This window comes from Homo sapiens, chromosome 7 (genome assembly GCF_000001405.40).
Source record: "Homo sapiens chromosome 7, GRCh38.p14 Primary Assembly".
Lineage (NCBI taxonomy): Eukaryota > Metazoa > Chordata > Mammalia > Primates > Hominidae > Homo > Homo sapiens.
In genome coordinates this window covers 111,644,747-111,670,327 of record NC_000007.14, presented here as the reverse complement: position 1 = coordinate 111,670,327, position 25,581 = coordinate 111,644,747, and positions in this window count along the sequence as shown.

Here is a 25,581-nt window from a genome sequence, read left to right as displayed (position 1 = left end):
TTCTCATGCAGTGGCCCCCTCCCTCCCTTAACTCAAAGATTCTTTTCATCTAAAATCCTGGGACTTCAAACTCAGAGATCATGTCTGAAGTAGACATGACAAAGGAAGCTTAATACAAAGACAAATTCTCATCCTCCTATGTGATGTCACTTGAAAAACAGAAGGAAGGATCTGGAAATGAGCTTTCTTCTCCAGGCTGAATAGTACTTTGAAAGTTCTGCATTTGCCATAGCACAGGACCATCTTTGTGGTTATTATTAATACCTCCCAATACACTTGAGGGTCTAAGGGCTACCTTCACATATACATAATGAGAGAATTACAGTAAACACCTGCATAACTTGGTCTTCTCTAAACCCCTCTAATTATTTGTTCCCCTCAGGCACAGGTAGCTTGGGCTTAAACTCAATTTCCACTTCATGTATGGCTACATAAAGTAGTACTTACTTAGACTCATCTGGTATTTGAGGAACATCAGCCCTTTATGAACTCCATGGTGAATACCAGTTGACCAGGAATCTCACAGACATTTTTGTGTGCGACCAGAACCATGGGTTGGGTACAAAATAACATACAGTATACTGAAGGCTCTGTGGTTGACGTGAAGGTTTTCAAAAACTTTTGGGGCCGGGTGCAGTGGCTCATGCCTGTAATCCCAGAACTTTGGGAGGCAGAGGTGGGCAGATCACCTGAGGTTGGGAGTTTGAGACCAGTCTGACCAACATGGAGAAACCCCGTCTCTATTAAAAATAAGAACAAAAAACAGAAAAAAAAAACAAAAAAAACAAATTAGCCAGGCATGGTGGCACATGTTTGTAATCCCAGCTACTTGGGAGGCTGAGGCAGAAGAATTGCTTGAACCTGGGAGGCGGAGGTTGCGGTGAGCCAAGATTGCACCATTGCACTCTAGCCTGGGCAATAAGAGCGAAACCCCGTCCCCACCCCCCGCCCCCCCAAAAAAAAAAAAAACTTTTGGTTCCTCTACTTAGGCACGGTCAGGAGGTAGGTTACTAGTTCTGAGATCTTTTCAAGGGCTATGCTCCCCTGACTGTTTTAATGATATCCAAAACAAAACCTTTTTCTAGTGAAGAGGCAGAGTTATTTAAAAAAAATAAAAACAACAACAACAATGTGAAGCATCAGTCTACTCTCAAGTAACGCTGGTATGCAATTGAATAAAAAACTTCTATGCTAGAACTTGAATAGATTCAATGCTTAAAGATTGATGTTTGGAGCCTGTTGAACACTTCAGTGTCAGTCATCATATATCAAGAAATTTACATACTGAGGTGCTCTTGCCCTGAAACAAAAAGATGAAGAGGCTTGCATTCATTTTCCATTGCTACTGTAACCACAATTTCAGTAGCTTAAAATAACACAAGGCCAAGTGCAGTGGCTCACGCCTGTAATCCCAGCACTTTTTTTTTAGACGGAGTCCCGCTCTCTCACCCAGGCTGGAATGCAGTGGCGTGATCTCGGCTTACTGCAATCTCCACCTCCTGAGTTAAAGCGATTCTCCTGCCTCAGCCTCCTAAGTAGCTGAGATTACAGGAGCCCGCCATCATGCCTGACTAACTCTTTGTATTTTTAGTAGAGACGGGGTTTCGCCATGTTGGCCAGGCTGATCTCAAACTCCTGACCTCAGGTGATCCACCCGCCTCGGCCTCCCAAAGTCCTGGGATTACAGGTGTGAGCCACCGTGCCCGGCCTGTAATCCCAGCACTTTGTGAGGTTGAGTTGGGAGGATCGCTTGATCTCAAGAGTTCAAGACCAACCTGGGCAACACGGTGAGACCCCCATTCTCTACAAAAAATACAAAAATTATCCAGGTGTGGTGGTGCATGCCAATAGTCCCAGCTCCTCAGGAGGTTGAGGTGGGAGGATCACCTGAGCCTGGGAAGGTTGAGGCTGCAATGAGCTGTGATTGCACCTCTGTACTCCAGCCTGGGTGACAGAGGGAAACCCTGTCTCCAAAACAAAACAAAACAAAAAACAAAACTCACATAAATTTATTTTCTTACAGTTCTGTAGGTCAAATATCCAGCATAGGTGTCACTGGTGTGGAAGAAAGATGTTGGCAGGACTGCATTCTTTCCCAGAGGTTCTGGTGCAGAAGCTGTTTCCTTGCCTGTTCCACCTTCTAGAGGCTACTTGTATTTCCTGGCTCATGGCCTTTCTCCATCTTCAAAATCTGCTTCCACGCTGCTATATTTCTGGCTTTCTACAGCTGAGAATGGTTCTCTGCTTTTAAAGACTCATGTAGGTAGATTGGATTCACATGGGTAAACCAGCATAATCTTGCCCCATCTCAAGGCCCTTAACCTTAATCAAATCTGTAGCCTTTCTTTGACTGTGTAAGGTAACATATTCACAGGCTCCAGCGATTCAGATATGGGCCTCTTTAGGAGGCCATTATTCTGCCCACCACAGGCCACTACACAGAAGTGTGCCAGACTTGTGGTATACAGCAGAATATGATCTGCTAGTGCTCCTGTTTTACCAAAACACAGATGATTGAGAGTTTAGGGGATTACTAAAGTCTGCTCTCATCAGCTCTCATTTCTCAGAGATTCACATTCTAAATTATGCACAGTCTGATGAAAGCTCTTTTGCGTCATTGACAAGGTTGTGGCCCTTCTTTCAGCATTACAACTTGGAGATTTTATGGGCTGTGTTGGGAAGCTCATGATGCACAATGGGAGGGGATGAGGGATTTACATTGATTAAGTTTCTACTCTGTGCCAGGCACTTCCACACTTCACAGTATTTGATTTTCCTGACCCCTACTCTAGTATTCCTTCCACTGTATCATGTTTATACAGCATCCCCCTTCTGTGGAAATTATCAACACACCTACCAAGGCAAGAGGATAGTGTGGTGGTCAAGGGCTTAGGCTCTGGATTCAGATGCACCTGGTATGCTGAATGGTCTGTTTCTCCTCCAGACCCACTCTCCAAACTTCTTTGTCCTACTCTGCCCAGGGAGGCTCACCTTTACAGAGTAGATCAGTCAGGCTTCTTTGCCCTCTGCCTTCTCATTGAGTTTGGTCAATAGGAGCCACTAGCAGGAGAAGAAAAGATGTGATGAGAAATTGCTCAGCAATGTAATCTGTCAGTTCTCTTTGGGCCATAGTATGGCACTATCAGCTTTGCTCTACCTAAGACTACAGCTTCTGCCAGGCGCAGTGGCTCATGCCTGTAATCCCAACACTTTGGGAAGCCAAGGAGGGTGGATCACTTGAGATCAGGAGCTTGAGAGCAGCCTGGCCAACATGGCGAGATCCCATCTCTACTAAAAATACAAAAATTAGCCAAGTGGGTGGCGCATGCCTATAATCCTATCTTCTCTGGAGGCTGAGGCAGGAGAATCACTGGTATCCAAGAGAGGGAGGTTGCAGTGAGCCGAGGTCGCGCCACTACACTCCAGCCTGGGTGACAGAGTAAGACTCTGTCTCAAACAAACAAACAAACAAACAAAAAAAGACGACTACAGCTTCTGCAGGGTATCTCCTCTCCCGTGGCTGCAGGTCTTTCCAAGTTCCAGTAAGTGCTCCTCCCTGTGCCCCTGGAGACCTGCTGCTAGCCCTTGTGTGTTTCACCATTCCTGGCTGATGCTACTTATTCCTTGATAAGTACTTCCTTCATTAAACTCTCCTCAGGTACCCTGTTGAAGTGTGCCAACTGTTTCTTGCCAGGCCCTATCTGATACACCTGGGTGTGCCAACATCTTGTGATCTTGGATGAGTTAGCTAACCTTAAACCTCAGTATTCTCGTATGTGAAATGGAGATAAAAATAGCTACCTCGTGGAGTCATGAGGAGGACTAAATTATTTAATTCATGTATAGCTTAACACAGTGTTTGTCACACAGTAAACACTTAGAGGAATCTTTGCCAAAATAAAGGAAATGAATTCTCTGAGATCTGATAGCTCCATCTGGATACAAATGTTCCACCAAGTGAAATGTACTTTTTGCTCCAACAAAAAAGAGTTATTTCAAACAACTATTTAATTGAGGTCTTTGGGTTTACCAATAACTAATTGTTAGTGATGTTGTTGAAGCTACCCAAATAGTCCTCACCTACTGAGGGACATTCCAACTGAAGCACCTTTAATTTAAACTTTGATGCCTCTGGAATTTTCCAACATACCTGAGACTTTACTTTCTAATTTTCTGGATATATAATAATTTAAGTAATGTAAGCAGAACATTTTTAACAATATTTTGGAATATTTTGGAAATATAAGTCTATCTATAAATCTACTTAGACACACTAATTGCTTCTTATTACAAATAACCTACACAATGATCCATTTAAATGCATAAAAATATTATGGTATATTTTTTTTTTTTTAAACAGGGTCTCACTGTTGCCCAGGCTGGAGTCAGTGGCATGATAGTGGCTCACTGCAGCCTCAACCTCCCAAGATCAAGGGATCCTCCTGCCTCACTCTCCTGAGTAGCTGGGACTTCAGGTGCACACCATCACACCCAGCTAATATTTTTATTTTTATTTTTAGTAGAGACAAGTCCTCACTATGTTGCCCAAGCTGGTCTCAAATTTCTGGCCTCAAGTAATCCTCCCACTTCAGCCTCCCAAAGTGCCAGGATTATAGGCGTGAGGCACCACACCCAGCCAATGGTAGAATTTTTAAAAGGACAGTCTTCAAAAGTGGATGCTTATGGTATCAGGGAAAAGATGAAATGCAAAAAAAAAAAAAAAAACAAAAACAAAACAAAAAAACAAAAAAAAAAAACCTACAGAAAATATTTCAGTATTTTGGTACATGAAGATCCATGTTGAGAGAGAAAGAAACAGAGAGTGAGAGAGAGACAGAGAGAGAGAGAGAGATTTGGAATAGAAACTTCCAATGTACTTTTCAGATACCAGATGAAAACACCATTTTAACAGCTGACAGTGTTGCTGTCACTGGCTTAAGTCTATACTTTGAAAGATCCCTTTCAGAGGGAAGATGAGGCCCAGAGGGTATAATCCGTAAGAAGACCACTCTTTATAAGAAATAATAGGAATTTGGTGGTGAGTTAAAGCAGAGAAGGGAAAGGAGCCACGCCATGGGTGAGGGATCCTAAAGGAAAAAGAGCTACGACAGACGGCTCCAGCCATGTATATTTAAGTTGTTTGCCTTGCTGTGATTTAACCACTCTGTTTCCCCACATCTTTTATAAAATCTGCTACACACCCAAATGCTTTATCTGCATGATTTTCCCCAGAAGGAAAGGGGACTATAGTCCATTTTGTCTGGGTCAGCACACGGCTGAGAAAAGACAAGAGCAGTGGTAAGGGTTGGGGGTGTGAGGGTTAATTTTAGTTGTCAACTTGTTCGGATTGAGGGATGCCCAGAGAGCTAAGAAAGCATTATTTCTGGGCATGTCTGTGAGGGTGTCTCTGGAATAGATTAGCATTTGAATCAGTGGACTAAGTAAGGAAGTTCTGCTTTCATCCAGTATGGGCAGGTACCATCCAATCAGCTGAGGGCCTGGATAGAACAAAAAGGCAACAGAAATTGAATTCTGTCTCTCTTTTGGAGCTGGGACACTCTTCTTCTCCTGCCCTTAGACATCAGAACTCCAGGTTCTCTAGCCTTTGGATTCCAGAACTTATACCAGCAGTCCCCATATTCTCAGGCTTCTGGCCTCAGACAGGAGGTTCCATCATTGGCTTTCCTGGTTTCTGAGGCCTTCAGACTTGAACTCAGCCATGTTACCAGCTTCCCTGGTTCTCCAGATTGCAGATAGTATATCATGGAACTTCTCAGTCTCCACAGTTGTGTGAGCCAATTTATCTAACAAATCATGTCTCAAATATCTGTATATATCCTATTAGTTCTGTCTCTCTAGAGAATCCTGTCCAGGACATCAGATGAAAGTGAACTAAGAGGTCACCAGAAGGGAGACTCTGAGCAGATATGTCCATAGAAACATGAGCTCGAAAAACTTCATGAAAATATCAGGGAGAGCATTATGCATCCCACAGGACAGAAGACAAAGAGACTGAAGCCAACTGTATTTAAATCTGAAAGGACAGGGTGACCTCAGCTGATATCTGATTTACAATTTATCAGAGATCTAAGTGAAAAGTAGAAATATAAAATTAAAGCTACTGGTGTCAGTCTTTTAGGATAATCATGTTCTTATTGCTGGTATTTTCCTCACCCCATATTTCTACAGTTCTTGTGGAATCTACACTAAAACAGAATATTTAGTATCAACTTTTTCCTTGATAAAAGACAGCCATTGTGGAAACTCTGTATCAACTGCTGGGAAAATGCTGGCATTAGATTTTCCCACATGAGGGTTTTAAAATTTTTTATTTAGTTAGTCATTTACTGCCAGGCATTTATTGGCTTCCAAATCTATGTTGGCACATAAGTGACTATAAACCATTACCCTAGCCTATGACATCTTACCTTTTAGGGATTAGCTGCAAAATACTATGTGGCATCAAAGTTCACTATTCAAGAGCACAGTTTTCAATAAAATAGAAAGGCACATGTCCCACACACACAGACACATATATAAATAAATACATATATCCCATATTTCCTTTTATTATGGGAATTTACATATTTTTCAATGATCTCCAAACCTATATGTTTGTATTATTGATCAGAACAGTTGCTAAACTTTCATGGTTTGCCATTGATATGGTTTGGCTGTGTCTCCACCCAAATCTCATCTTGAATTGTAATTCCCACAATTTCCTCATGCCATGGGAGGAGCCAGGTGGGAGGGGATTGAATTATGGGGGTGGGTCTTTCCTGCTCTGTTCTCGTGATAGTGAATGAGTCTCATGAGATCTGATGGTTTTAAAATGGGATGTTTCTCTGCATAAGCTCTCTTCTCTTGTCTGCTGATATGTGAGACATGACTTTCACCTTCTACTATGATTGTGAGACCTCCCCAGCCACATGGAACTGTGAGTCCAATAAACCTCTTTCTTTTGTAAATTGCCCAGTCTCAGTTATGTCTTTATCAGCAGCATGAAAACGGACTAATACAGCCATGATCACAAGACTCTTTGTAGAAGACTCTGTGTAGACTTTCTGTGAGGCTTGAGACTTTTGCCCAATACTTATAGCTTTGTATGTTCCCCCCTGCCAAGAAAATTCATTTATAACATCAATGTTGTAGGCCATTGCCAATGCAAGTCCCCAAATTCTGTTAGGCAACCTCCAGTAAAAGTGTTATTGGAAGACCTTCCATACTCATCTCCTAGCTTATTTAAAGGGTATAAATAATCAAATATGACCCACTTTAGAAAATTAAGTAACTGAGCAATTTAGCATTTTTTAAAATATAATGGAGACCTTTAGTGGTGAGAATAATTTTTGGTTATCATGCGTTATATTCCCTTGATCTTGCTATATGAAAATATGTCACATATTTACTGATCACCTACTCTCCTGCAAACCAGTGTACCCAAGGAACTTATAGATAAATAAGGAGACAAGTCAGGCAAATCCAAAATACATATTTGTAACAACCTACATGTAATAGCTCATTTTATGTGTCAACTTTGTTGAGCTATGGTGCCCAGATATTTGATCAAACATTACTCTGGATGTGTTTTTTGGATGAGATTAACATTTCAATCGGTGGACTTTGAGTGAAGTAGTTGCTCTCCATAGTGTGAGAGGGCCTCATGTAATCAGTTGTAAGCCTTAAGAGAATAAAGACTGACCACCCCCTGAGCAAAAAGGAATTCCGCCAGAGACTGCCTTTGGATTCAAATTGTAACCCTTTTCTAAGTCACCAGCTGGCCAGTCTGTACTGCAGATTTCAGACTCAGCAAGCCTCTACAATTTCATGAACCAATTCCTTAAAATAAATCTCTCTATACATACACACATCCTGTTGGTTTTGTTCTTTGGAAGTCATATCCACAAAAAAAGTCTTGGTCAAGAATTTATACTTACTTTGCACATTCATTCTGTATTATTCCAGATATAAATTTGGGTGTTTTGGATTTATTTTAAAGTAATTCAAGTAATACTAGTTCCAGCTCAGTCTCCAGAAGCAAAGGTTGTAGCTCTAAGCAGTTGCAATAGGCAGCACTTATGCAACCTTCCATATCCAAAAAAAATTTTTTGAATACCTATTCTGTTCAATAAGTGCTGACATGATAAAGTGAATAAAAGAGACAACGATCCCTGCTTTCATGAAGTTTATATCCTAGTGGAAGAAGATAGACAACAAGCAAATAAACGTATGTTAGTCAGATGGTGATAAGTGCTAAGAATAAAACTAAAGCAGTTACCCTACCTTAGGATGGAGAATGATGAGATGACGTAGATCTGAGCAATTTTATGTAGGGTGTTTGGAGTATGTAACATCTGAGCAGGGACCTAAATGAAGTGAAGTCATGCAGATTGATGAATGAAAAGAGTTCCAGACACTCAGAGTAGCAAGGGCAAGGGTTTTGAGGCAGAAGTGTGTACAGGATGTTAGAGGAATACAAGGAGGGCACCAGAATGAGAGACACCATTCTGAATGGAGACACCAGAATGGAGACACCAGAATGAGAGAGAGTGGTACGAGATGAAGCCAGAGATAAGTTCCCAGAACTGGGCTGTGTGGATCAGGGCCTTGTGCATCAGGGAAAAGACAGAATTTTGTTCTGAATGAGATGGAAAGAAAATGGAGTGTTTTGAGCAGAAACTTTACATAATTTAACTTAAGTTTTAGTAGGTTTCCTTAGGCTACTCTGGAAACTAGAGTATGTGTGTTAGGGCTGGGGAGAGGTTGGTGCGGGGGTTAGAGAGAGAAACTGGTGGAAGACTACTGCAAAATTCTACCAGGAAATGATGATAGTGGGAGTAGTCAGGCTGGATATGTTTCAAAGGTAGAGCCGACATGGCTGAAAATAGAGAAGTCAAGGGTGACTCCATGCTTTTTTTTTTTTTTTTTTTTTTGAGACAGAGTCTCGCTCTGTCACCCAGGCTGGAGTGCAGTGGCGCGATCTCGGCTCACTGCAAGCTCCGCCTCCCAGGTTCACGCCATTCTCCTGCCTCAGCCTCCTGAGTAGCTGGGACTACAGGCACCTGCCACCACTCCTGGCAATTTTTTTTGTTTTTGGTATTTTTAGTAGAGACGGGGTTTCACCGTGTCAGCCAGGGTGGTCTCGATCTCCTGACCTCATGATCCACCCACGTCGGCCTCCCAAAGTGCTAGGATTGCAGGCGTGAGCCACCACGCCAGGCCAACTCCATGTTTTTTGACATGAACAACTAGAAGAATGAAGTTGACTTTATTGAGATGGAAAATTCTGGGAAAGAACAATTAGGGGTATGGGCCAAGGATCTAGTTCTGGACATGTTATGTTGCATGTCACTTAGACATCTAAATGGATATATTAAGAAGGCAGTTAGATAGAGAGGTATGGAATTCAGGAGTGAGATCTGAGCTGATAATATGTATTTGGAAATTGTCAGTGAGTAGGTGGTTTATAAAATCATGAGACTGGATAAAATCCCCCAGAGGGTAATCATAGAGATTGAAAAGGAGACGTCTGAGGACAATCTTAGGATGTACCAATGTTTAGAGGTCAAGAAGAGAAGCATCAAGCAAAGAAGACTGAGGAGGAGCTGCCAGTGAGAAAATGGGGTCTAGGAGGAAAAAAGAAGGAAGTGCTTCAAATAAGGGGAAGTGATCTATGGGCAGGTGAATTAGAACAAGGACTGAGAATTAATCATTGGTGTTATCCATGTGGAGGTTGTTAGTATCTTGCTAATAGGAGTCTGAGTATAGCAGAGGGAAAAAAAGACTAATTACAGTACATTAAAGAGTGACACAGACAAGAGGAAATGTAGACAAAAATATAGGAAACTCAGGCCCCACATGGTGGCCCTCAGTTCTTTGGGAGGCTGAAGCAGGTGGATCACTGGAGGCCAGGAGTTTGAGACCAGCCTGGCCAATATGGCAAAACCCCATCTCTACTAAAAATACAAAAATTAGCCAGGCCTGGTGGCAGGCACCTGTAATCCCAGTGACTCCAGACGCTGAGGCAGGAGAATCACTTGAAATGGGGAGGTGGAGTTTGCAGTGAGCCAAGATTGCACTACAGCCTGGGTGATAGAGCGAAACTCCATCTTGGGGACCATAGGCACGTGCCACCATACCTGGCCAATTTTTGTGTTTTTAGTAGAGAGGGGGTTTCACCATGTTGGCCAGGCTGGTCTCCAGCTTCTGAGCTCAAGTGATCCACCCGCCTTGGTCTCCCAAAGTGCTGGGATTACAGGCGTGAGCCACCACGCCCAGCCTGGAAGCTCCCTTTTGATTAGTCAATGGGTTTCAGTGTAATAAAAGCAATAAGCTGAGCGTGAGGATGAAGGGAGAGAGCGTTAATAGGCTAGAAACTTTGTTCTCTGACTGTGGCTCTCTATTTTCCTCAGTTGAGTTTAAGGAATTTGGAGCAGGATCCTTTTCACATCATCTTGTTTGGGCAGAAGGTATTTACAACTAAGATATCTTTTAGTTTATTTTTGCAAGACATTGACCATGAACCTCAGCCAGCTTTCCCATTACTTAACCTGTCACTCTCCTGCTCCAAGTACCAGGGTCTGTCCAGTCACATTTACTAATGGGAAAACAACTTAAGACTTATCTTGCCTTTCTCTACCTAGACTTAGATAAGGACCTGTGAGTAAAACTGTGATCTAAATGTTGCACTGGCTTTTGTTTCTTGTTCTCAAGGAATATCAAATTCCCAAGGGAGTTAAGAGCACCTGCTTTAGAGTTATTATCAAGTGCTGATACTTTTAATACATTTCTCTGACAACACACAGGGCAATAAAACAAGTAGCTATTGAGTGCCCATCATGCAGGAACTAACCTTTTTTAGGATCTACCATGTAAAAAAAGCAATAATTCTCCACCTTCCATAATTGCTGAAGGTGAACTTCTAGAAAATCTTATAACCACTAGTATAAATTTGAAATATCCTTTCAAACGTATTCTACTTGACGGTTAAACTGTTATTAATTAAGCAGTAATATTTAGGTATGCCAGAGTGTGGTTTAAGGTTCAATGCCAATGTTTTTGTTTCTTTTGTTTTGTTTTTGTCTCTTTTTTTCTTTTGAATTTCTGTATTGTAGTTAGGGCTTTTTCTTCCCAGTGCTGGTCCCACTAGAACAGGGTGGGAAAATAGGGAAGAGGAAGGAAACTAACATTCAGCACTCAATATCTGTTAGGTACTTTCCAGAGATTATTTAACATTCAAAATAATATTATGAGACAAGATTTTTGAGTCTCTACTTTGCAAATTGGGAAACTAGTATAATAAAAGTAATTCTAAACCACTTGGCATCATAGAGAATTGTTAATTAATTATAGTGCTTCAGAAAATTTTAGAAATAAAACACTGCCCAGTTTTACTGCAACATGCCATAAGTCTTCCTGCATAGAAAATCTGCCCACTGTGTCTTGGCCAGGTATCCTGGCTCTGAGATCGTCTCACTCTACCAGCCCAGCTTAAACAAGGTCATTGAAAGCTGTTCCCATCTTGCCAGGTGTAAGCAGCTGCTCCAGATTGGTGTTATCAGCAAATTTATTGAACTTGCTCTTACTTTCATCACCCTGTGGATAACTCTGGCCCACAACCAGCCCTTATGGATGGACACCCCCTGATAAATGTTCTCAGGATGACAAGAAGTCACTGATAGCTACTCTTTGATTGCAACTCTTCAGCCACTTGACAGCACTATGATCCAAGCTATGTATTACCAGCTTGTTGAAAAGAAATGTCATGTGAAATGGTTCAAAAGCCTTACTGAAGTCTGGAGATATTATATCTATTGCTTCCTCTTTGTCAGGGTGCCAAAGAAAGAAATTAAATTTATTTAGCCGGATTCCTCCTCAAGGCGTATTGCTGACTTCCCAACTGCTCTTATTTTGTTAATTTTCTAATCGATGGATCATTTGTATCTTTCCACAAGTTGAGATTTTTGCATTTCAACTAACAAGCATCCCTAACGCCATATTCTAAAAATATTAAGACACTTTTAGATTGTCTTTTCTTAGGTTCTATTCTGACTTTCTGAGGTATAGGAATATGCCTGTAGGATCTACAGAGTCATGAAAATATTCCCTTTTCCCATTCACAAGTACTGTATTTAAGCTCACTTCAAACAAATAACTAGATAACTAGATATATTCCAGTTCTGGCTCCAATATCTCAATGCAAATAAGTGTCATTATTCCCAGGATATCCACAGCTTTGTGTAATGAGAAGGATTGAATGTGTGACTATATGTGTATGGATGTGAAAGATGATACAGAGAAAGAGAGAGCCACTCTTTTTAAAGGTAAGGTGAGCTCTTTCCTACCACTATGCCTTCTTTCCTTCCCTTTATTAAAGTCATAGAGTTTTCTTCCGAATTTTTTATATTCCCAATAAATATAATTCAATCCATAGAACAGAAAACTAAACTTAATATGCTTATATTTGTAATGATAGGTTTGGTTTTACAGCTTTTCAATGATTCCCAGTGACAATTCATCACTTTTCCCTGACATCACTTCCTGCATCCTTGCTACCAACTCTTTTATTTTTTCTTTTTTTTTTTTAGAGACAGGATCTGTCTCTCTGCCACCTAGGCTGGAGGGCAGTAGTGTGACATGATTCACTGCAGACCCAAACTCCTGGGCTCATGTAATACTTCTGCCTCAGCCTCCCAAATAGCTGCCACCAACTCTTTTGAAATACTATTCAATGTCTACTCATTCCTAGTTTTGATGCTGTATCTATTCTTTTACATCTCTATGTTCCATCATGCAGCTCTTACTTGGGGAAGGGGAAAAAGCAGGGCTGATAAATACATGGCACTCCTCCTCCATGAACATGGCAAACAGAAGAAAAATCAATCATAGCATGTGTTTTTTCTGAGATTAGTTGGGGCCTCAGCAGCCTGTATAACCTAATATTTTAGACCTGGGGTCACAGCAAACACTTAATATAAAAAGTCAGATAGTAAACATTTTAGGCTTTGAAAACCACACAATCTTTGTTGCAACTACCCAACTGTGCTGTTACAGGGGAAGAACGGCCATAAACAATATGGAATGAATGACCATGGCTGTGTTCCAATAAAGTTTTGTTTATAGAACAAGTGACTGGCTGGATATGATCCAAAGACTTTAGTCTGTAGTTGCCTGCTGTGGATTGCAGACTCCTGCTTTAGACACGTAACCACCAATCAGAGTTGCCCTCTGAAGATGGAATCCTTCTGGAGTTCCTGGGCTAAAGAACAAGATGCAATGGTGTTTCACTGTTGACGTTTAATTCACCTGTTGTTGATTTCCACCTGATAAACTGATGTAACTTAGTTTAGTGCCCTTACCTCTGGGTGTCCAGAAGAGTCACTTTGGGACCAAAGAAAGCAACTTTCAGGCCCTGCTCATTTTCATTCTCCTTAACGTTGTCCGTGGTGTGGCTAGCATGGGAACTTCACACATTCTTTTATTTGAAGATATGAAAAGAAACGGTATGAAATATCTCAAAGTCCTTGCCTGATAATAGGTACTATCAAATACAGCATTCAATCATCAAAAACTTTTCCCTATAGGATTAAAAAGAAGCAAAAAAAACAACAACTAAACAAACCTAAATTACATTATAATGGGATAGGATGAAATGGAATTCAACTGCAGCCTAGCAACCATCAACTGTATCTCAATTATTTATAAGATTTAAAATGCGTGAAGTAGTTTTAAATGTCCTATTCCTGATTCCTGTGGGCTGAATTCTTAGCCAAATGGACAGTTGAAGAGAAGGTAGATATAAGGCATTGAAAACGTAATGGGACACTTCAGGCTAAAATAAAACAAAATAAGAAAGGGAGAGACAGAGGTCCATTTTTCTCAGAAGAATATTGCTTGAGCGAAACTTATCTCTGTTGTCTTTCAGCAAGGATAATTAACAAACCTCTTAGGATTGTTAAATATTATTATATAATACATCTTTATACTTTCAAAAGAAAACTTCTGTGATTTAAATGATAGAATGTTAACATGCACCTTCCCTTAGGAAGTTGTCCAGTGGAATCTATTCTCTTCTCTCAGCCTGGCACTATCATCTACATGCTTTTTACTCTCCCTCTGATATCACTACCAGCAGAGATAATAAATGTCCTCTTCACAGATTATTATCCAGAAGAAAAAGCACCAAATACTTTATTTGATCCTTTCAAGCCTGACTTTATATGAAATCTATTTTTATATGTAGTCATTACCTTCAAACTCTCTTTAAAGCAGCATTATCAATTTAGAAAACAAAATATCATTAATTTGTATGTCATCACTTTAGAATTTGAGATAATTTGGTCAGGGAAAGATTAAAGATAATCAGTTCAATATATATGGGAAAATAGAATTATTCTTGATGATGATGAATGCAAACAACCTACCAAAGCAAGAGGTCACGTGGGATTATTAGAGTCTAAACTCATTGGTACACTTTCGAAGCCCTCCCTGTACTAGCGGGAACACATCTCTCCAGCTTCGTACACCAGCTACACGCAACCTCTGCCGTAGCCAAAGCCAAAGCCAAAGAACACCCAGTATTTTCCTTTTTCTCTCCCCATTTGTACTGTTCTCTGTATTGGGAACACCCCTTTCTTCTTCCTCTAGTTCTGCCTTTCAAAATTATATTCCTTCTTGAAACGCCAAGCTGAAATGTCAACAGTGTTATGGAGCCTTCTCCAATACTGCAACCAAGACAAGCTCTTGATATGGTTTGGATGTTTGTCCCCTCCAAATCTCATGTTGAAATTTCATCCTCAGTGTTGGAAGTGGGACCTGGTGGGAAGTATTGGATCATAGGGGTAAATCACTCATGAATGTCTTAGTACCATTCCCTGGGTGATGAGTGAATTCTCACTCAGTTAATTCATGTGAGATCTGGTTCTTTAAAGGAGTCTAGGACCTCCCTCTTCTCTCTCTTCCTCCCTCTCTCCACATGTGACATGCCAGCTTTCCTTTGCCTTCCACCATGAGTGGAAGGTTCCCGAGGCCCTCACCAAAAGCAGATGCCAGCACCATGCTTCCTGTAAAGGCTGCAGAACTGTTAGCCAAAATAAACCTCTTGTCTTTATAAATTACCCGGTCTCAGGTATTTCTTTATTGCAACACAAGAATGAACTAACACAGCTCTTTTCCAAGACTTTATGACATGCATTACAGAGGTGTGTTGATTTGCACCTGTGGTTGGGACACTAACAATGACTTCACATATAGGCAAACACATCTGACTTCTTCATTATGCCTTTATGTAGTCATGCCTGAACATTTATGTATTAATATATTTTGTCCTCAATTACTTTCCTTTTATTTATACTTTATCTTACTGTTGAGCTATTGTATTAAAGTTTTTTAAATATGTATATAAGTAGGTTATATTACCTATAAATTTTCAGATTAGTCAAGGGAAAGTGATGATTTTTTGTGTGTGTAAGAGTGTTGCCTCTGATATGGTGGAGAACATCTAAAAGAGATTTTGGAAAGATCTGCTCCCCTTTCATTAATTCCTACTTCAAAGAATGATACTATCAGACATCCATTTCCCCAGTGTTGGCAATGTCATAAATTATTTCCCCCACCTCCCTTCACCATCCAATCAATGGCCAAGACGCTGTGAGTCTGCCTGTTAGGAGTCCTCTCATTTCCTGGCCTAGCCCCATAACTACTGGAGATCACCACGTTCTCATTATCTGTGACCTAGATTATTTCAACTCCACCCAGTCTCCAGAGGGCTTTTTACAACGTGAATCTGATTATGTTAAATTTATATTCAAAATTCTTGGCTGCTCCCTATTGCTCACAGGATAAAAATCTCAGTTTTCTAGCATGCAAACGAAACCTTTCAGGATCTGGCCCTGTGTCCCTATCTAGCATCAGCTCCTGTTTAGCGACATCACCTCTCACTGCTGCAGTTCTCACCTTATGCTTTCCACTGTGGCAACACGAACTACATGTGGGTTTCTAACCCACTCTGCTCTTATATTCCTCAATGACGCAGCACATGTTACTTCTACCTTAGATGCAACTTGGAAACCTCTTCTTTGAAAACATCTTAGACTTTGTCAGGAACACTATTTTTCTGCTTTTTAAAAGCAATTGATTTTTTTTTTTTTTTTTGCATCTGTATTTCCATGAACAGTAAGCTCGTTGCCGGTAGGAAATATGTCTTTCCTTCCCTATATCCTCAAACTTAGCACAGTGCCGAATGATAAATATTCATTGAGTAAATTAGTGCATGAACAAATGCATACACTGAATAACTTTGGTATGTTTGAAATAATCACTGCAGATTACTGTGTTGCAGATATAGTTTGGCTGTGTCCCCACCCAGATCTCATCTTGAATTCCCATGTGTTGTGGGAGGGACCCAGTGGGAAGTAGTTGAATCCTGGGGGCAGGTCTTTCCCTTGCTGTTCTCATGATACTGAATAAAGTCTCCTGAGATCTGATGGGTTTTTTTTTTTTTTTTTTTTTGAGATGGAATCTCGCTCTGTTGCCCAGGATGCAATGCAGTGGTGTGATCTCGGCTCACTGCAACCTCCGCCTCCCAAGGTTCAAGTGATTCTCCTGCCTCAGCCTCCCAAGTAGCTGGGACTACAGGTGTGAGCCACCACACCCAGCTAATTTTTGTATTTTTAGTAGAGGCGAGGTTTCACCATGTTGGTCAGGATGGTCTTGATCTCTTGACCTCATGATCCGCCCACCTCGGCCTCTCAAAGTGCTGGGATTACAGGCGTGAGCCACCATGCCTGGCTGAGATCTGATGATTTTATAAGTGGGAATTCCCCCACACAAGCTCTCCCTCTGCCTACTGCCATCCATGTAAGATGTGACTTGCTCCTCCTTGCCTTCTGCCATGATTGTGAGGCCTCCCCAGCCATGAGGAACTGTAAGTCCATGAAACCTTTCTCTTTTGTAAATTGCCCAATCTTGGGTATGTCTTTATCAGCAGCATGAAAATGAATTAATACAGTTGCTTTTATAGTCTTCCTTCTAATAATCCTCTTTCTCAGTTAAATTTTACTTTCTGAATCTTCTCTAATCCTTTTTCTCTTAGAGTTTTGCTACATTTGCTCCATTTTCTTCCGTTTTGCCTTATTCCAATTAATTTTATTCATTCTTTTGCATTTGTAGTCCTCTTAAATTCATAAATGATAGGGTTCTCTGTGTTTCTACAATTAAGCCAACTCAAATAAAACACTAATTAGCTGCTTTAATATGAACTTTGGTAAGAAATTTTCTTTCCATTCTTGCAGAAATAAGTTTAAATGAAGGCTCTAGGCTTCTAGTAAACATAGATGTCTCTATTTAGGTAATTATAATACCCAATTTACACTTTTAAAGCGATAGCACAACCAAGAGAGATATCTATAGCTCTATATAAATATTCATGGAAACACTGTTTATAATAGTAAAAAAAAACTGAAAGTAAGAAATAATTAAATTTTAGTACGTAGATTTAATGAAATATTATGCAGCAGTTTAAATGAATGAGTTAGGGTTTTATATGTCCTACATAGACAGATCTTGAGTCATATGTAGTAAGTTTTAAGATGCACAACAGTAAACATAGTATGATTCACTTGATACAAAGTATATCTACGTAAATGCTAACATTTTCCTAGGGGGTAACAAGAAACTTAATCACAGTTATTTAGGGGTGAGGGAGATTTTGTGTGTGTGTGTGTGTGTGTGTGTGTGTGTGTGTTAGGATGAAGGGCGTGGCAAAGGGGGAGCCTTTACCTCTAACTTTTTGTTTTACTTTAATTGTCTAATACACATTTTTATTTTTATGCCAAGAGGGGAAGCATGGGCCATTTTACTTATACTTTTCTATGTTAAAATATGTATACATTAGCCGAGTGTGGTGGCTCATGCCTGTAATCCCAGCACTTTGGGGGGCCAAGGTGGGTGAATCACCTGAGGTCAGGAGTTCGAGACCAGCCCAGCCAACATGGCAAAACCCCGTCTCTATTAAAAATACAAAAATTAGCTGGGTATGGTGGCACACGCCTGTAATCCCAGCTACTTGGGAGGCTAAGGCAGGAGAATTGCTTGAACCTGGGAGAAGGAGGTTGCAGTGAGCCGAGATCGTGCCACTGCACTTCAGCCTGCATGACAGAGCAAGGCTCCGTTTAAAAAAAAAAGTATACAATTAATATTAACAATGAATATTCACAAGTGATCTCAAACTTTATTGTGTATCAGAATCACTCAAAGTGCTTCTTAAGTAAATTCCAGATTCCTACCTCAAACCTCTGAATTAGAATTTCTGAGTGTTGGGGACCCAAGAAAATGAATATCTAACAAGGGTCTCAGATGATTCTGGTGTAGGTGGTCTGAGCAATATTCACTGAGAAATACTGCAGAATGACTCATTAGTACTTCAAATTCATACCTCTGTATGTCTTCTACATTTTCACCAGCAATAATAATAGTAAATTGTTGTAAGGATAAAACAGAACAATCTGTCTAGATCTCTTAGCATAGTGCTTTGCAGTAGAGCAAATTCTCAAATGGGGGTGGAGTCTGTCTGTCTGTTGTTTGGTTGGGTTTGGAGTTTTTGTGCTATTGTCAGCCATTATTAAATTTAGTTTAAAGATGCCTAGAAAAAAGCCAACCATAGGCCAGGCGCGGTGGCTTACGCCTGTAATCCCAGCACTTCAGGAGGCCGAGGCAGGCGGATCACCTGACGTCAGGAGTTCAAGACCAGCCTGGCCAACATGGTGAAACCTCATCTCTATTAAAAATACAAAAATTAGCTGGGCGTGGTGGCAGGTGCCTATAATCCCAACTACTCGGGAGGCTGAGGCTGGAGAATTGCTTGAACCCAGGAGGCGGAGGTTGCAGTGAGCCAAGATCGCGCCATTGAACTTCAGCCTGGGGGACAAGACCAAGACTTCGTCTCAAAAAAGAAAAGAAAAGATAAGATAAGATAAGAAAAAAGCCAATATTTAAATAAACTGGGACAATAAATTGTACATTGAGAAAAATTGTTCTTTGAGAACATTTAAAAAACATGTGTTCTTTCCTATTCTTCGCTGACAATAGCCACTTTTTCATTTGGTATAGCAATTGTGTTTTTTAAAATATTTTTAACCTTTTGTTGCTGTTATTTTATTATAAAGTTTAATTTTTCTATTAAATATATAGATCTTCATAATGTTTTGAACATAAATCTTCAAGATTTATGTTGTATAGGACCATATATCTTAAAAAACCAAAAGTCAATGGCAGAATATTATTTGATTTAAAATAGTGTGGGTTTTTAGAATTTTGAATGCGCCTTATTACACAAAGTAGGATACACAAGAATATGAGTTGGGCCTACTGTTGACTTTCTACATTGTGACTCATAACTGTGTTTGCCTTTTCTCTGCCAGATGTTTGTAAGTCCTGTAGTCGAAAGGAAGGCAGGAAATAACGCTGGCAAAAATGGAAGTCAGCCTTTCATGCCAGACATCTGCCAGAAAACAGACCTAGTGAAACACATCCAATAATGCAAAAAGTAGCAGGCCAGATTTGTAATGAGTTATAAATCCATATCAGCTGGTTCCATTTACTCCGTCTCAGATGACTATTTTGGAGCCTCCAGGGAAAAGCAGAAAAGTCTGTCACATATAACTCAGTCCTTCAAGGCACTACACAAATGTCAAAGCTATAAAAGAAAACAAGGCACAAGCCACCCCTCTTTGGGGACTCCCCAGTCGTCTTTCCATAGTTGCCTGGGACCCTCTCAGTGGTGCCTTATCTAAGGTAGCCCTCACCAAGCAGCCCTACCTGAGTTGTACCTTGGTTTTCTTTTCAAATGTGAACCGTACTAGGCATTTGGACCAATCTGATAAACATCTATAAAAGTACCAGTAGAATTACATTGAAACAGGATCCCTTTGTTGCCTTAATCCAAAGATTGAACTAATGTGGAAATGTCAGGTTCTAAAGTCAGTTAGTAGAGAGATGCTTGTCTTTTATCTTGTTTTATGTGGTGGGGGGGAGGGGATTTTGAAAAATGTATTTTATATTTAAAAAACACCTTCCCCACCCCTACAAACCCTATCATTTTTGAAATGTAAACCACAGAAAATAAAAGCCTGGGCAACATGGTGAAACCCTGTCTCTACAAAAAAAAAAAAAATACAAAAATCAGCCAGGCATGGTGGCATGCACCTATAGTCCCCTCTACTTGGGAGGCTGAGGTGGGAGGATCATTTGAGCCTGGGAGGTCGAGGCTGCAGTGAGCCATGATTGCACCACTGCACTCCAGCCTGGGCAACAGAGGGAGACCCTGGGAAAAAAAAAAAAAAAAAAGAAAAGAGAAAGAAAGAAAGAGAAAAGAAAACTGAATAAAATCCTCTCGTCTGGAAGTGACTGAAAAAAATACTTTATCTTCTTCATTTAGGAGATTCTCACTGAAAAATGTGGAAGCTTCACCAGGTGACAAAATATTTTCATGGGAGTGGATGGGGGAGAAGATTTTAATGCTTTTTGAAAGACAGCGTAGGATTGAGGAAGTTGGCTACTCTAATTAGTTTGTATGTTGACCTAGGTGGCTGGGCTTGTCTAATGATATTCTCCTATCTTCTCTTCTTCCTCCTCCTCCTCCTAAAATGTTTAGTTCTGGTCTATAAAAATACATAAAACAAAATTGCCCAACAGAATCACCAAGCCCAGCCTGATTAGTTGTAACCAGTGAAAACTGCCTCCATATCCTAGGCCTTATCTCCACCCCATCCCAGTAACCCTAGAATTTTGGGATATAATATTTATATTACTCTTTTTAATAAGAATAGTCTCCGATACAAAGCTTTCTTTTCACTTTTAGAATGTTACTCAAAGGAGCCTTAATGGAGGAGATCTACTTTAAATAAAAAATAAAGCAATTTAATACACCATTTCAACTTTTCTTGGAAAAGAATCATATGCTTCTCGCAAGAGAGCAATCTACTGGCTTCTTACAAGTAGGCTTTGGCTGAACTCACGTATCTTTTGAACCTGACAACCCAAAGTGAGTGATTTCTTGATTGATTTTTACACTTCTAACAATGTTACTCAATGTTCCTGTTAACTCTCTGAAATGTCACTAAGTTGTGTTCTAGGATCCTGGGGAAGTGTATTTGGAAAGGTAATCTAGAAAATAGGCTTCTCTTAGCCTAAAGGAGTTAAATTTAATCATGTCTCATCTACAGGTGTTTTAAATTCTTAAACATTTCTCAAATTTTAGCCATCTGCCAATAAATAAAGATAGCAATAAACTAAGTAATCTGAACAATAAAGAAAATTTCTTATATTATCAAGTAAAATTTATATCTTAGGATATGTATTAATTTGATATAAAAAGGTTTAGGAAAACTTAAAAAATGATAGACAATCTAAAAGCCTTTTGCACTGACATTTTTTACCCCAGTTTATATATTTTACGTTAGACAAGAAAATAAGTGAACAGTAATTATTTGATTATTTAGAAACGAAAGAAAACTGTTTTTTTCTTGAACATTCTTGACAGAGTATGAAATAGTCTTGCAGAGAATAAACATTTTTTCTACCATTTCCAAAATGCATAGACAAATATAATCTAAACTTGCTCTCTAATCACTAAAATATTCTTTTTTTTTTTTTTTTGAGACCGAGTCTTGCACTGTTGCCCAGGCTAGAGTGCAGTGGCACGATCTTGGCTCACCGCAAGCTCCACCTCCCGGGTTCACGCCATTCTCCTGCCTCAGCCTCCTGAGCAGCTGGGACTACAGGTGCCCACCACCACACCCGGCTAATTTTTTGTACTTTTTTATTAGAGACAGGGTTTCACCGTGTTAGCCAGGATGGTCTCGATCTCCTGACCTCAGGATCCGCCTGCCTCGGCCTCCCAAAGTGCTGGGATTACAAGCGTGAGCCACCGCGCCCGGCCTAAAATATTCTTGATGTGTTTTGAGCTGTGTTGTTTCCATTAAAATGTGAAACTACACAACTGGAAGAATATCGAGTAGAAATGCTTAAAAATAACTGCAGCAGAAAGTTAACCCAACACTCAGTTATGACCTCTTGATGACAGATACACAACTTTCATATAATCAGGCACTTAAAGAAATCACTTCCCTCTTAAAATACTTCATGCAAAAAGAGATGTGATCACGTACTGCTGTGAGCACAAATGTCTGGGCATTTTCCCCCTTGGCTAATATATTCAAGAATAAGAAACCAACAAGACATTGCAAATGAGAGCTTCTCTAACTGCTTCCAGGTGTCCAGGCCGCCCAGCATTCCTGATAGTCCAGAACCATTCTGATGCAATTTACAAACATTCCTTCCTGGGAGAAGATGAATTGAGGCTAGTATTGAGCAGCCTGAGATAAATGATAGCAATGCTGCACACCGTCGTGTTTATAATGCCTTCATCTTTTCTTTTTCTTTCTTCTCTGGCATTTGGGCAAAACTGGTGGGTGTGTTGGTAAAATATTTTGCAGATTCATTCTTTCTTTCCTTCTTTCTTTCTTTTCTTTTTTTTCTAGAAATGGTCTCACTATGTTGCCCAGGCTGGTCTCAAATTCCTGGCCTCATGCAATCCTCCCACCTTGGCCTCCCAAAGTACTCAGATTACAGGCATGAGCCGCTGCACCTGGCCTTTTTGCAGATTTTGAATGCACCATAAATGCTCTCAACAAGTCCATCACAATGTTCTAAACTGAAATTAGGGCTCTTGTCCTTAGCTGTACCTTAGTCTGCGGATATTTTTCTCCAGGTAGCCCATTCTTTCAAAGTCCCTATAAACCAGAACAGACTTTGTAAGAAGTATATCAAAAGACATATACAGAGAGCCACAAAAATATAAAGTGTTATTAAAAGAATAAATTGAAAAAGTCTCTAGAGAGATTGTTGATAAGAAAAAAATAGTATTGTAAGTACATAATAATGAGAAAATCGCTAAGACTCAGGGATTCTTAAACTATCTTTTGAGCCACTGGTCCCTTTGGTAAAGCTTGTGGACCTCCCTTTTCCAATGTAGGAAGATACAGGGTTTTTTTCTTTTTCTCCCTCATCTATGTTCACAGAACTGCTCTCTTCAGACTAAGAACACCCCTGGGAGTGAATAACACTGGCTCTTATTTAAAGTGTGAAGTGGACTGAGTTAATGTTGGATGTTCTGCAAAAGCCTTCTCTCTGCAGGCACCACCCTCTCTAAGTGCCTCTCCTTTCCCAGGTGCCAGCGTTCATCAATCCCCCTTACTTCGATGTCCTGTCCAGGCTTAATGTATTTGAGCAACACCCTGTGTTAAAGCCCTTTCCCCATCTTCTCACCAACCCCAACCCACAGATTCCCCAATTCCATGTGCCCCTCTCTCAGGTTTTATTCACATAAATAGAAATTTATAAAAATGGGACCCATTTTCTGGCAAAGCATATCAGATTGGGGGCACAGCAGTTTTTTGAATCACCCATGTCACACACACGCCCATATGGTATGTCTCCGTGGGAGCAGTGGAGAGAAGTGTCTTTGGCTTCCACTCCTGGCTTCCATTGAAAATTAGTGGGTACAATAAGAGTTGTGATGATTGCCTTGTGTGTGGGAACTAGGTGGAAGCAGAAACAAAGCCGTGTGGTCTTAGGAATGTAACTGGGGCTTGTTAATGAATCAATGAATTTACACTAAGGTGTGTCCAAAGTGAAATCCATTTTACTTAAAACAGGATTACCTTTTAAAAATAAGATTTATTTCAATGTTAGGAATTAGGACAGCTTGAGTATGGTAACATTTTGAGGCACTTTTTCCATTTAATATATATGGAAATTTGACATAAATCTGGATATTTGAGTTTACCCAATAACTATAGACTCACACAATGGACTAAGCTTCCCCTAAAGAGAAAAAAAAAAAAAAAAAAACCCTGGAAAAGTAGGACTCACTTTTCCCCCTAAAATCATCCCACATAACAAGAAGCTCCAGAGCTGATATGTGTGCGGAGAACGTCTCTTTCCTGAAAGGAGTAGAGGTAGAATTTGGAGAGTTCCAGTCGATATGCTGATACTTACCTGTTTTAGATGCTATCCGAGGAGGAGGGAGAGGAGGGAACAGTGCAGTGATGCAACCTACTATTGACGCATCTTTGCCCTCCCCTTCCCCATCTTTCCACTCCTCAAATTGTGAACAAGGGCAATGGTTGGAAGATAAAGCTAGAAAAATAGGCTGACTCAGTTAAAACATTGTATTACTCATCTGAAATACTATGAGAAGCTATTTGAAGGATTTTAAACTATAGAGATGATATCAAGTTCAAATTTTGGAGAAAAATCACTTTAAGATATTTAACATTCTAGTACTAACTACCAAAGTTCAAATGCTAACTGTTAAAGTTGGTCACTGGCCAGGTGCATTGGTGCCTATAATTCCAGTACCTTGGGAAGCCAAAGAGGATTATTTGAGGCCAGGAGTTTGAGACCAGCCTGGGCAACGTTAGCTGAAACACCAAAGCCTGTCAACACAATTGGATAGACTTTAGTCACAAGCCATTGTCTGCTCTGCAAACCCAACAAACTTCATCTCAGACCATTGTATGTTCTTCAAGTTCATTGAATTCCCCTAAAAATTATTTGCTATTCCCCTAAAATTATCCATCTCCCTTCCCCTAAGAAAAACTGTATAACCATCCGTACCTCATTGTGTGATGGGGTAATCATGCTATGATTGTTCCCTCCATGCATATTTATAAATGTGTATGTCTTTTCTCCTGTTAATCTGGTTTTTGTCAGTTAATTTTTCACTGTACCTTCAGAGACCAAAGGAGAAGTTGTCCCTTGGTCCCTACACCTCTGTCACAAAATACAGATTCAGGAGAGAAATGTAGGGTCCAGCCCCACAGGGTCGGTGGGTTTTCTTCCCATGTGCGGAGACAAGAGAGTGTAGAAATAAAGACATGAGACAAAGAGATAAAAGAAAAGACAGCTGGGCCCGGGGGACCACTACCACCAAGACGCAGAGACCGGTAGTGGCCCCGAATGCCAGGCTGTACTGATATTTATTGGATACAAGATAAAGGGGCAGGGTAAGGAGTGTGAGCCATCTCCAATGATAGGTAAGGTCATGTGGGTCACGTGTCCATTGGACAGGGGGGCCCTTCCCTGCCTGGCAGCCGAGGCAGAGAGAGAGAGAGAGGAGAGAGAGACAGCTTACGCCATTATTTCTGCTTATCAGAGACTTTTAGTACTTTCACTAATTTGCTACTGCTATCTAAAAGGCAGAGCCAGGTGTACAGGATGGAACATGAAGGCGGACTAGGAGCATGACTACTGAAGCACAGCATCACAGGGAGACGGTTAGGCCTCCGGATAACTGCGGGCGGGCCTGACTAATGTCAGGCCCTCCGCAAGAGGTGGAGGAGTAGAGTCTTCTCTAAACTCTCCCAGGGAAAGGGAGACTCCCTTTCCTGGTCTGCTAAGTAGTGGGTGTTTTTCCTTGACACTGACGCTACCGCTAGACCACGGTCCGCTTAGCAATGGGCGTCTTCCCAGATGCTGGCGTTACTGCTAAACCAAGGAGCCCTCTGGTGGCCCTGTCTG